Source organism: Homo sapiens, chromosome 3 (assembly GCF_000001405.40).
Source record: "Homo sapiens chromosome 3, GRCh38.p14 Primary Assembly".
Lineage (NCBI taxonomy): Eukaryota > Metazoa > Chordata > Mammalia > Primates > Hominidae > Homo > Homo sapiens.
The window spans coordinates 135,881,699-135,896,389 of NC_000003.12; positions in this window are offsets into that span (position 1 = coordinate 135,881,699).

Below are 14,691 nucleotides of genomic sequence, written 5' to 3' on the forward strand. Positions count from 1 at the left end.
GGAGACAACCCTGGCTTGGAATGTGGAGAATGGGTGTCAAGAGATCTTCCTGGGAATGAAGTCTGTGACCACATGAGTTCTCCTCACATATTCAGGCCCTCACCTCATATGCCCCATCCCACCAGTCCTGCAAAAAATGATATAAAAAGATGACATCAGAAAACTTCGTCCTTCAACCAAGATGACTTTCATAAGTGAATAAACTATGGTACATCCAACAATGGACTATTATTCTGTACTTAAAAATAAATGATCTATCAAATCATGAAAAGATATGGAGGTCATGTGTGTAATCCCAGCACTGTGGGAGGCCGAAGCAGGCAGATTGTTTGAGCTCAGGAGTTCGAGACCAGCCTGGGCAACGTGGCAAAACCCTGTCTCTACGAAAAATACAAAATCAGCCAGGCATGGTGGTGCACAACTGTGGTCATAGCTACTCAAGAGGCTGAGGTGGGAGAATCGCTTGAACCCAGGAGGTCGAGGCTGCAGTGAGCTGAAATTGCACCACTATACTCCAGCCTGGGTGACAAAGCAAGACCCTGTCTCAAAAAAAAAAAAGAAAAGAAAAAAGACATGGAGGAAACTTAAATACATATTACTGAGAGAAAGAAGCCAATCTGAAAGCCTACATACTTTACGATTCCAACTACATGACATTCTAGAAAAGGCAAAACCATGGAGACAGTAAAAAGATCAGTGGCTGCCAGGGGGTAGGGGTGAGAGAGGGATGAATAGGCAGAGCATAGAGGATTTTTAGCTCAGTGAAACCACTCTGCATGACACTATAATCATGGATACATGTAATAACTTTCTTGTATATGGAATGTACAACACCAAGAGTGAACCCTAATGTAAACTATGGACTTTGGGTGATAATGTGTCAATGTAGGTTCATCAGTTCTAACAAATGTACCACTCTGTGGGAGATGCAGAAAACGCAGAAGGCTATGCATGTGTGTGGGCAGGCGGTATATGGAATATCTCTGTACCTTCTTCTCAATTTTGCTGTGAAACTAAAATTGCTCAAAAAATAAAGTCTTTTTTTAAAGCCGATTTTTTTAAATGAAATCACTCCCGTTCTGGTATCTTTGGCTACAACTACTGTTGATGAACTCCAGTCAAAAAACAAAAAGGCAGACAGGACTGGTAAGAAAATTGAAACACCCATACAACTGAGGAAAACACCAAACACCAAATTACATCAGGCTCTCTTCCATTTTCCATACAATTCTAGCCAGATGGCTTAAGCTCTGGAGTCAGGAGTACCGTTCTCCATCCTCCTCTGAAAAGTGAGACGGTCACTTTTCACCCACCACTTAATTTCACTGACTCTCCATAACTCCAACTGCAATAATCCCCGTGAATTACAGAGGAGTTTTAAGAACCAATACCAGCCGGGCACGCTGGCTCACGCCTTTAATCCCAGCACTTTGGGAGGCCAAGCCGGCTGGATCACGAGGTCAGGAGTTCAAGACCACCCTGGCTAACATGATGAAACCCCGTCTCTACTAAAAATACAAAAAATTAGCCGGGCGTGGTAGCAGGCGCCTGTAGTCCCAGCTACTCGGGAGGCTGAGGCAGGAGAATGGCGTGAACCCAGGAGGCGGAGCTTGCAGTGAGCCGAGATCGCGCCACTGCACTCCAGCCTGGGCAACAGAGCAAGACTCCGTCCCAAAAAAAAAAAAAAAAAAAAGAACCAACACCTTTTTCCAAATTATTTGGGAGTTAGGAGGAAAGGTATTTTCTCAATACGAGGTATAATTACAGCAGTATTGACCCTTCTTTGAATCAGAAGTGTTCCTTTCCCTTTACAGATCCTAGAAAGTGATGCTCAGAGCAGGACAGTGACTCTCTGAGGTCACACATCCTGTCAGTGGCAGTCTCAGAAGGAGCGGGTGGATCTCTTGTATATCTCTTCTGGAATTCTGCTGGGAAACCCAGCTAGACCTGGTGGGCTTTTGGCAAACAGCAAATACACACAAAGAGCAAACATGACCCATTCATTATGCCTGAAAAATGCAGCTCTCCAAAAAAGAGTGTCTTCTCAGCGCCCTCTCAGCACCGATTTTCCTAGCCGTTCTGCTACTAAATGTCTTCAAGCAGGCCCACACATTTCTGTGATCTTCTTTCCAGAGGAATAATCAGTTATTTCTTGTAATTTCTACTTAATAATATTACAATAGTGAACTTTTTCTTTCCCTCATTAAAGTAGTGGTAGGTTGGATCAGAGGAAAGTTGATTTGTGGTCTCCACCTTTGTAACCAAGCCCTGGTCTTTAATTGGGATCTCCTTCTGGCAGCATCCCTCATGCCCGTGACAGGAAAACATCTTTGGTTGGATCATGAATTCTGATTTTTTTACCTGAAGTTTTCAGTACTCCCTACAAATAAAATTTTAATATAACTGGTTTCAGTACATCTAGGAGCCTTTTAATTACCCTCCAAAAGATGCTTAGGCAACAGCTTGCTATTAGGTTAAACAGTGTCAGCATCTGTACTGTAAACACTAACAGGTTTATTACACATTGCAAACCAACATTTGTCTTCTACTATTTTTTCTCTGAAGAGTCTTCTCTGGAAGTATATCTCCCATCCAATGGACAAAATGGACATGGGGACACCATCTTTTCATCTCCTTACTCCCCTCCACATTGCAACCTGAACATTTCTGACAATAAAACGGTGGGACACCTTGTGATAATTCAGGAGCCGATTACACAGCCACAGGCTCCACAGGCAGGTCCTCACCCTCCTCGCATCTCACGCCTGACCATTTCACTGTTCATTACCCCCTTTTCCAGAGAGTGAGCAGGGAAAACAAAAGGAGATGAAATTCAAACCCATCCATTTTGCTCCCTATTAGCTGTTCTAGTTAAAATTTTAATAGGGAGCAGCTGAAATGATTAATTAATATGAAGTTTGAGGACTGTCTCTGCAGCTCATTTGTCTACTCTTCCTTCCTCCTGAAATCATCTATAGTACAAAATGTACTGGCCTTGGGACTAGGCTAAGGCAGTTACTATGACCCTGGTGGCCAGAGGAAAGATAATCACGGCAAGTAACTGAGGAAACAAAACTGACATTAGGCTTTTTTGTAAAGAATTCCAAGCTTTATATTATCTCCCATAACATTTTAGACTCTTTATTAAATTATAAAATATAATATCCTATGGCTATTAAAAATAGCTGCTGCTTTGTTTATTTATTCCACTTACAAAAACCCCACAACAGAGAAAGTCATACTTACAGAAATAATAAACCTTAATAATACTATAGGAAAGCTGACTGGTAATGATAACGAATTTATACGAGATACTAAACAAACATTCAGCAAGCTAATCTAGGCTGTTAAACAATTAATAGTGATTGTGCAAGATAAACCCTTCAGAGAGGAGAAATAAAACTTTGAGCTTTTCAAAGTGATCGTGCAAGATAAACCCTTCAGAGAGGAGAAGTAAAACTTTGAGCTTTTCAAAAGGAATATTTACCTGCAGATAGAGAAAAATGTGTATTAAAGAAATAGGCTATATTTTCCTCTAGATAAAAAGATTTTTGTCTGCCACTTTAATATTTGTTGGCTAATTCAGAACATTATTTTAATATTTCATCAGAAAATTCTTTTCACTCTAGGCATTTGGTTTTTCTATTATATCCAAGTGTATACTCAAGGCTAAAAGCTTTTACAGAAGGATTGCATCTTTAGTCTTTAAGAAACATGGTAAGATATATAATTTGCTGAAATTCACTTTATTACCAAATTTGCAAGAATATATATCCAAAACATGAAATGAGGTATTCATGCATATGAATACACATATGATACAGGCTCAACTTCCCAAGTCATCTTATCCAAACCTCAAGGACAAATTACCCATAGAGCGTAGAGAAATGGAAACACTGAACTGGACTAGAAGCCAGCTGGGTTCTAGCCCTGCCTTGTCATCCACCAGCTGTGAGACCTTGAACCAGCCACCTCCTTCCCTGGGCCTCTGCAAAAAATAGTCTCAACATTTCCTCCAATTCTTAACTTGTGATCTATGGGATGAAGGATCAGGTCAGATCAGAAGAAAACTCAGCTGAGTTAAAGAATGCAAATTCAAAGTTCAATTGAGGATATTAGTACATGAGAGATCCACGACTGGACACCTGTAACTAACAAGAGATGGTAAAGCTGGGGGATTGGGGCCACTCTCAGTCCGGAGTCTGGAGCTCAGTGCTGCTATTTTATGAATTTTATGATTGTAGCTATATATAACCAATTTCTAATATCTCTTTTGCAAGGAGGAAAATATTTTTAAGCCAGAATGCCAACCTATTAACCTACCCATTGGGGATAGCTATTTATAATGACTGAAATACTCCTCACAGCTATTTACAGTGACTGTTCTGTTATTAAGGTAACTAGAGCCCTGAACCAGTCATCAAAATGTTACCCAATGAGTACAGAATAAGTTAGATCTGAGCTGATGCTGAGCAAGGAAAGAATAGCATGCAAAACTTCTAAGGTCAGATTAAAAAGGTGTTCTTTATATATGCATATATATATAAAGTATATATATATACACTTTAAGTTCTGGGATACATGTGCAGAACGTGCAGGTTTGTTACATAGGTATACACGTGCCATGGTGGTTTGCTGCACCCATAAACCCGTCATCTACATTAGGTATTTCTCCTAATGCTATCCCTCCCCTAGACTCCCACCCCCTGACAGGTCCCAGTGTGTGATGTTCTCCTCCCTGTGTCCATGTGTTCTCATTGTTCAACTCCTAGTTATGAGTGAGAACATGCGATGTTTGATCTTCTGTTCCTGTGATAGTTTTCTGAGAATGATGGTTTCCAGCTTCATCCATGTCCCTGCAAAGGATATGAACTCATCCTTTTTTATGGCTGCATAGTATTCCATGGTGTATATGTGCCACATTTTCTTTATCCAGTCTATCACTGATGGGCATTTGGGTTGGTTCCAAGTCTTTGCTATTGTAAATAGTGCAGCAATAAACATACATGTGCATGTGTCTTTATAGTAGAATGATTTATAATCCTTTGGGTATATACCCAGTAATGGGACTGCTGGGTCAAATGGTATTTCTGGTTCTAGATCCTTGAGGATTCGCCACACTGTCTTCCACAATGGTTGAACTAATTTACACTCCCACCAACAGTGTAGTGTTTCTATTTCTCCATATCCTCTCCAGCATCTGTTTGTTCCTAACTTTTTAATGATCGCCATCTAACTGGCATGAGATGGTATCTCATTGGGGTTTTGATTTGAATTTCTCTAAAGACCAGTGATGATGAGCTTTTTTCCATATGTTTATCGGCTGCATAAATGTAAAAGAAGGTGGTCTTAACCAAGGGTCTCAGACCTAGGCCTGAGTTTCAAGAGATCTGTGTCCCTGATGAAATTATATGCAAAATTGCATATGGATGTGACCATGTGCATTTTTCTAAGAAAAGTGTTCATAGCATGTATTTCCTCTCAAAGGAGTCTGTGATCTCCAAATGTTCATGAACCCCTGGGAAACACAGAATGGACTCAACACAGAAAGGGAGGATTTCAAGGCAGCTCTGAAGAGTTTGTAATCAGGAACCAGAGCTGAGTCACAGGGTGAAAATTCTCTAATAAGAGGAAGAAAGATCAAGCAATAGCCTGATCCAGGCCAGGTGGGATGCCACAAAGGTCAGTTCCATGGATCAGCCACAGTGACTCAGGGGCCCTCAAAGGAGGCCTTACTCACATGTAGAACGGCAAGGCCTGCCAGCTCACCAGAGCAGGGTTCCTGTAAATCCTGCCAACCAGTAGATCTAATTCTGCAGGATTACTCACAAACAGATGGGACTAGGTCCTATTCACCCCAACTTCAGTCTAGCTCACAACCAACCCCATCGTGTTGAGCACTGGACCTCTATTTCTCTTTCCCCACATCCATTCCATGATATCTCTATGGGCAGACAGGACACCATGGGAAAAGAGGATAGGTGTTGGCCCCAGGAGGCCAGCAAAAACACATGAGTGTTACGTCTCACAAGATCTTTTGTCAGAGTAGATAGTTGACACATTAGGCCAAGACAGTCGTTCAGATTTAAAGTTTAATTGATTAAAACCAAACAAAGTTTAAAATGCACTTCTTCAATTATACTAGCCATTAGTTATAAGTAAGCAATAGCCATAAATAGTTAGTGGCTATTGTACTAGATAATAGAGCTATAGATCATTTCCATCATCACAGAAAGTTCTTCTCTATGTAATCTAGCACTTAAGCCTATGACACAAACAATAATTACAATACAGAGAAAGGAAGAGTCTAAAGTGAACAGAAATTGCTCTAAATAGCTTCTGAAGGAACTAATATTCAAGTTGAATTTCCGGGAATGAGATGGAAGCCTGGGAAGGAGAATTTCATTCAGAGTCCGTAAGAGAAACAAAAGTGATAATAAGGAGAAGAAAATGGGCCCAGGCCTGGATGGAGCCTGGTACATGTTCATGATGAACATATATTACAGGGATGGAAGGATGAGTGAATGGTAGGAAATGAGATAAGTAGGCAAGGTATAGGGAGATTGCACAGGAATTTCAATGTCTGGCACAGTAATGTAGGCATGACAACAATAGCTAGTAACACTGGCTATCACTTATTTAATGCTTATTGTGTTTCAAGTTTTGTAACAAGAGATTTATACAAATTATTAAATACAAATTATTACATTTACTCCTCACAGCACCAGGAGGTTAAGTATTTTTAACTCTATGATAAGAATGACAAAAACTGATTTTTGGAGAATTTAGATATAACATGCCCAGGGTCATGCAGTGAGGAAATGGTAGGCTGTGATTCAAACGAATACCATTGTCACCAATGCCTTCACCTTATACTTTCATTCTCCCTGCTCATCCTCCAAAAATCTTTCTTTTTAATTGGGAAGGGCTTTGCCTCCACTCTTTACAGTATAAATCCACAGTTTCCAAGGTGTCTCTTCTGAAAATCCCTTTACCTTTTTCTGATCCTCGAGAAAATACTCTCTTAACAGGGAGTCCTTAGCAGTTTAGAATGTATAGCATTAGCAAGAGCAGGAATATGGCAGGAAGGGCTTGGAAAATGGCAGCGATCGACCCTGCAGTGTGAATAAGAGGTGTGTAGAAAAAGAGGCCCTTGTACTCAAGGATTCACCAACTTTTCAACTGATATCATGCAGAAAGTTACCCCCTGACTTCAGAGCCCTTCTACCAGGTGTGCAAGACAGGGTTCCTGGCCCCATGAACTCCTGTCACCGTTGTGGCTCCTCTCATTGTTTCTTATTCTTCTAAGAAAATTGCTTGCTGTATTCTTCTGTAGGTTTGAGTTTTGGAGTTTATACATATGGACGCTTCCCTCCTTTACAATCCTGACTACAATTTGACCTGGCTGCTCCTGGGCAGACCCGTGACTATAGATTGGAACAAAAGGCTTCCCAGAGGAGAGAGAGACGTTAACATGCTTTTCTATGCCTCTGTGCTTTTTCTATAAAAATAGAATATTAAGTTAACAAAGCATAACAATTCATCTCAAAGTATTATAGATAAAAATTGATTACAGCATTTAGAGCAAGATTTGAAGAAATACATATACCTTGTTACTACCTTTAACAGTAATCATTCACTGTTTAATCTAACTTTGGCACTTGCTCAACACGTAAACTGGAATGTGCCTTGTGTCTTTCCTTTTAGTTAAAATCCTGTGTAGGGTTGATACTTGGCTCTTTTTCTTTGGGGCATTAGAGATTTTGGCACCAACAAGTATTCCACACAGATTCTCTCCAGCTTTTTACAGTTTGAGCTGCCTTCACACAGCTGATCAGTGAGAAGGTGCCCTGCTGCGGTCTTAGCATTCTAATTAACAGTCTTTCTATCTAATCACTCTGCTCTTCTACATGACAGAGACTGACCTTCTACTCCACAGCATTGCCAACAGCCAAGAAGAGAAAATGATTAGAGCCCAGCCACATAATATCCATGGCATGGAACATACACACTCACACACATACACGTGCTCAGGAAAAGCTTATTATGGAAAACCCCAGGGGGAAGGGAGGACCAATCAACCCCTCCCAGTGTTTACCCCTGCTTCATTTGCTGCAGTCCCCTCACTCTTCTAAGAGAAATGATCATGACCGCCACTATAACTGCTTCAGGCAGCAATTTGCTCTTCATATCTATCTTGGCTTAGATTTTAATAGGTATCTTTTTGATAAGTATCTTCAATATGTATCTAAGACGAAAGTGGAATTTTTTTGAATTTTTGTCTTTAAAAAACTATAGCAAGAATAAAAGAATAGAAAGCACAGGTAAAATCACAAGTGAGGTTACAGGCAGATTTCGCATCTTTAAATTACCAAAGGCTTGACAAAATTATTTGGCCAACACCATTTACTGAAATCACCCAAATTCATCTAAATTCACCTCACCTCTGACTTGTTTAATTTTCCCAAAGTTAATATACCTCTATTTTTCTCGGCACAGTTTGGGCCCAGATTTGCTAGTGACCTGTATGACCTGTATGGCTGGTGCCATCAGTCCCAAATTCTCTCTGTCTCATACAAATGAAATATCTTTCTACTAGAAGTTTATGTGCTTACCAGTGATCATAAATGAAGTATAGTTCCTTATTTCCTGCCCACAAGAGCTAGGTAGGTTTCTTAATGTCTTAATGTAAGTTGATGACACGTTTGCCCTAACTCATAGATTGTGCAAGAATGAACTGCCATTGAGTTTGATTGCTTATAGATGGATTTTGATGAAGTTAATTTGAAGATATTGAAGGCTGCTTACTGTGCTTAATAAAAATCTTTATTCTTTTAGTTTACAAAAAGTTAGATGTTATTGAGCCAATTAGATCCTGTGTGTGGTCTGTGGAGGTGCCTGCAGTCTTCAGTTCATTGACGGAACAAAGTGATAGACACACCCAAGGCCCAGTGAACTGACAAATCCTCCCTTGGTCAGAAGCTATCTTTGCTCATGTGTGCAGGTACTCCTAACACATTCAAGGGCTCATCCCCTGCCCCTCTAGCCACTCACATTCCCACTACCATCCACACCCACCCCTTCATTTCCACTGCCAAGGTTATTATAAAAATGAGAAGCCCTTTATGCAATAAAAATGCATATGGCCACAGAGGGGAAGCCATTCAATTCCAAACCTCCTCAATCCCAATCTAGCACTGTGTTCAATCCTACTTCCCTTCAGTATAGCTTTCCAAGTAGTTTATTTTTTTTCATTCAGTCTAAATTGAACTTGTATTGGTTACAGTAGGCTAAATTTATGTAACAAAACATCCACGGATGTAATAGCTCAAACACAAAAGCAGTACTCAACACAAAAGCAGTATAAACTTGCTCATGTAATATTCCAAGGCAAGTGTTTCTGAGTCAGCAAGAAGCTCTTCTTTACATGCATTCCGGGATCCAGGCTTCTTCCAAAGCTAAACCAATCCCTAGAGCCCCATCATCCTCTGCATTCATTTGGCAGAAAGGGAAAGACCACTGGGAAGACCCATCTGCCTCGTAAAGGCCAGAGCTCAGAAGTGTTACACAGCACTTCCGCTCACATGCCAATGGTGAGAACTGGTCACGTGGCCCCAGCTACTGCAAGAGAGTAGAGGAAGTGTTGTCCAACTGGGCAGCAGCTTCCTATGACTAAGTAGAAGGGAAGAAGAGGTTTTGGTGGGCAGCCAGTAGACCTGGCCACCAACCTTAAACAAATAAAGGGGAGAAGATTTGGTTAATGAAAATCACATAGGCAAAAAAAAAGAAGGACTCTGACTTTAGTCCTTTCTTTGAATTACTTTTTTTTTTTAATTATTTGGGTGGGGTTTTTTCAAAGCAATTTATGCCTTGCAATTTTGTTCATATGCTTATTTGTATTCTTTTCTCTTAACCTGTCTACTAAAAGATTTGAGACTGGTACTAAAGTCAAAGAGGAAGAAACAATATTAACTTTTGTTCAAGACCAATGCAAATATTGTAAGCCAAAATGTGTTGCCAGGCAAAAGGTCAGGGAACTAGTCTAGTTTTCCCATAAGTATGGTTCCTGACTACCTCCTCAAAGTCATTTTCCACCCATCTTCCCCTCATGCACCACATTCTAGCTTCACTGCCTTGCCTACTCTTCCCAGAAGAATCCAACCACACTTCTACATCATGATATTTGCATCTGTTCTCTCTGTCTGGAAAACTCTTCCTCCAGATACTAACATGGCTTGCCCTTTTATTTAATTCAGGTACCAAACAAATGCAGCCACTTTAGAGAGACACTTCCTAACTTTCTTATCCAATGTAAAATAGTATCCTGTTCCTAGCCCCCACATCACCTTTACCCTTTTACTCTGCTTTTTCTTCATAATACTTATCACTACTATTGTACATTACACTTTTGTTCATTTATTTTCTTATGCCCATTTTTCTCACTAGCTTGTAACCTACATGTAGGCAAGGACTTAATTGCTGTTATCGCCATCAACTTAGACATATGTGGCACAAGTTAGATGCGCTATATTTCCTGGATGAATGAGTGTATTTTATTGGGTATAAACAAAGCCACAAAAATAAATACTGTTCAAACCACACTAATATTCAAAAAGTTCTCACCAAAAAAGGAAACTGTTTTGTTGCTCTAGTTTTTTCTTCCCTTTTTAAGGGGTAATGAGTGACAACTGGATATCCATATGCGAAAGAATAAAGCTAGACCTCTTCCTTACACTATACACAAAAATTAACTCCAAATTGCTTCTAGAAATCAATGTAAAAGCTAAAACTACAAAATTCTTAAAATAAATAAATCTCTGTTGTCCAAGCATGGTGGCTTATGCCTGTAATGCCAGCACTTTGGGAGGCTGAGGCGGGCAGATTGCTTGAGTCCAAGAGTTCAAGACCAGCCTGGTAAACATGACATGATGAAACACTGTTTCTACTGAAAATACAAAAAAAAAGCTGGGCGTGGTGGCACGTGCCTGTAGTCTCAGCTATCTGGGAGGCTGAGGTGGGAGGATCACTTGAGCCAAGGAGGTCAAAGCTGCAGTGAGCCATGATTGTACCACTGCACTACGGCCTGTGGGAGACCAGAGTAAGACAAGAAAGAAAAGAAAAGAGAGAATGGGAAAGAAAGGGAAATAAAAGGAAGGAAGGAGAGAAAGAAAGAAAGAAAGAGAGACAGAGAGAGAGAAAGAAGGAAAGAAAGAAAGAAAGAAAGAAAGAAAGAAAGAAAGAAAGAAAGAAAAGAAAAGAAGGGAGGGAGGCAAGAGGGAAGGGAGGGAGGGAGGAAGGGAGGGAGGGAGAAAGTAAGGAAGGAAGGGGAAGAGAGAAAGAAAGAGAAAGAAGGAAAGAAAGGAAAGAAGGAAGGAAGGAAGGAAAGAAAGAGGAAGGAAGGAAGAAAGAGAGAAAGAAAAAGGAAGAAAGAAAGAAAAAGAAGGAAAGAAAGGGAAATCTTTGTGACATAGGTGACATTGGGTTGGGCAATGCTTTCTTAGATGCAATACCAAAGGCATAAGTGATAAAAGAAGAAATAAACTAGACTTCACCAAAATTTTAACCTTAGCTCTTCAAGAAACACCATCAAGAAAGCGAGAAGATAACCCACACATAATGGCAGAAATATTTGCAAATCTTTTCTTTGATAAGGGACTTATACCTAGAATAAAGAGCACTTAAAACTCAACAATAAAAAGGATAATAACCCAATTTTTAAATAGGCAAAGGATTTGAATAAACACTTCTCCAAAGAAGATATACAAATGGTGTGTGAATTACCTCCCAATTTTTTAAAAAAGAGTAATGAGCCCTTTGTTGGGTTTGTTTCAGGGACAGACTCTAAATCCGTATCACGCCTACATTGTTGATACTTTACTTAAACCACTTACAATGTTCTAGAGCTGTGGTGGTCCCAAAGTATGGTCCCCGAATCAAGGGCATCAGCATCCTCAGGAACTTGTTAGCAAACTCTCTGGCCCCTCTCCAGACCTACTGTATCAGAAACTCTGGGGTGGGACCCAGCAGCATGTGTCTCATTAAGCCCTCCAGGAGATTCTGATGCTCACTAAGGTATTAGATCCACTTCTCTGGGCAAGGAGGAGCATAAGGTCTCTTTCCTTAGAATAGGTCTGACTGTACTAAATTCCTACCCATCTCCACCCTCAGGACATTGGATGAGCCCTGTTCTTTCTTTTTCAATAAAAGGCAGGGCTACTTTGCTCTTTTCCATTCTTCTTACTCCATGTATTCTGTGCATATGGCTACCCACTCCCACCCCTCTGATTGTCTTTCTCCATATGGCCACCCTGGTAGAGATGATATTCCAATATTTAGGTTTGGGGAAGCTAGGAAATCCCATTTCCTATTCATGAGATCTTAGGCACATGGACAACTCAGTCTCTGACCAGAGGACACTGCATTGACATGTTGTGTATATGATTCCCAATTTGTTATTGTCCCTTGGGTATACAGCTCCCTTGAAAACTCCATGGGGAAAAGAGGTACTGTCAGGCCAGGATGGAGGCATTTTGGGTCCCTGTCTGAATGACTTTATAATAGCATCAAAACCACCCTCAACCTCTAACACCCACCAGCATGACATTTATCATAACTCCCAGGTTTATACCATGTTTACTTTGCTTACCAAACACCTACCCCTCTTAAATAAACCTAATTAATTCATTTACCCACATCTCCACCTACATGGTCAGTATGATCAGGGAGCAGTCGTGTACACAATCCTTATATGCTTATTAGGGGGGTTCTGGGAAGCTTGCAGGCATAGGCAGTTGGTCTATGGTTTCCGAGGGTCAGCAACAGAACCCTGTCACCTTAGGCAGCAAAGCTCCAGGCCTATTCCCCACAAGAAAGCAAGCCTCTTATTTAAGTCTTGATTATAGGTTACCTGCCCTCACAAGGATCATTCCTGGGGCAAACAAGTGACTTCTATCAGCCATGCTCAAGGTGTATGCATATGTGTGGATATAATACATCCAGAGACATGAAAATAAATCCCTCACTGGCTCCCTTTCTGCAACAGAAAACAGAAATAGAGAAAAACTTAACAACTGCAAGCTCAGAGCCAAGTTATCAGAAACCAAATTAAAGCTGTTGGGTATTTTTGTTGAAACATCTCTACCTCTGAAATCTAATTTCTTGCAACTTTCCATATAGGATCCTGTGTTGTATTATTTATAAGAAAATAATATTCTGGCCTCCCTTGACAGCATTTCCAGGCTGCAGAAACCACTGTAGCCATGAAGTAACAGAATAATTTTGGTAATGTTTCCATAGCTACCTTGCTTCAAAGTGAGGTTTATTCTGTTTTAAAGTCTGCTGACCTATTCACAACCTTATTTGAAGTATTTTCAATCTAATCCCTCGTCTGCCTATTATTGTCTTAATGTTCTTGTGATTTCTATATTTAAGGAGGCCTTGGATGCATAAATATATGGTAATCAGGACTTACAGTTAGATATAACAATATGATGATTTTTTTTTCTATTCTTTTCCGATGTGTATTCATCATGTCCCTCCCTTGCAACACAGGGAAACCTTCCTGAGGATTTTGGAGGTAAAGGCTGTTTAAGGTACACTGGTGCCCTCTCGTGGCCACTCTGGCCTTGGGCTTTCCTTCCCAGAAACCTCTTAGACAATTGATTTTGCAAGAGGTTAATGAGAAAGTATACCTCAAAATGCCATTGCTAATTGTCATGAGTGTCCTTGTGTCTGTGTCTTTTGCCCCCTGCAGGCATGAGGGTCTGTCTGAGTAGCAATGTAACCCTGAGGGACCCAGGCCTCTGCTCTTTCCTTCCAAGGCATGCTTCATTAATAAGAAATGCTGTTCAGGGGTTAGGCCTTAGGAAGTGACCTGGGACACACGTAAGGAGGAAGATGACAGACCAAACAACTTTCAGAAAGACTCTGAAATGAAGAAAATCCACAGAAAGAAAAGGTGGGGCTTCACCTCAAGAGAGCACAGCTTATCAAGAAAGAGAGCAAGGAACAGGTAGTACCATATGCCTTTTTAACAACTGAAAATATAAACCCCGTGCTGGCTCAGAAAGCATGACAAAGCAATCAGTAAAATCCTAATTAATTCACTGTGACTCATTTTTATTCAATAGACATAAGAGTGGGTGAATAATACATGGGCCCAGTATTGTCCAATAGAACTTTCTATGATGATGGAAATGTTCTATATCGGTGTTGTGCAATACAGTAACCACCAGCTCCTTGGCCTATTGAGCACTTGGAATGTGAATAGTGAAACCAAGGAACTGGATTTTTAATTTTATTTCATTTTGGTTACTTTAAATAGCCACATGCGATTAGTGGCTACCATATTGGAAAGCCCAGGTCTAGGGGGACAGATAACTACAATATAAGCAGAATTCATAGTATAAGCAAGTACAAATAAAGTTCCATGGTGGAAGGGGGAAATAGGGATGATCAGAAAAGTTTCAAAAAACAGGAGGCATTTGAACTAGACCTTGACGAATGGGTTGATCTTATTAGCAGAGATGATAAGGAGAGCATTCCAGACATCAGAAATAGTATGCACAAAGGTGTGAGGTGGGAAAACTTTACGTAAGTGTTGTAGAAACAGGTGTGGAGTGTCTCCAATATGTGGCTGGATGTAACATGGGAAACATTGATTGAAAGCAAGGAATGTGAAGCCTTTGATGC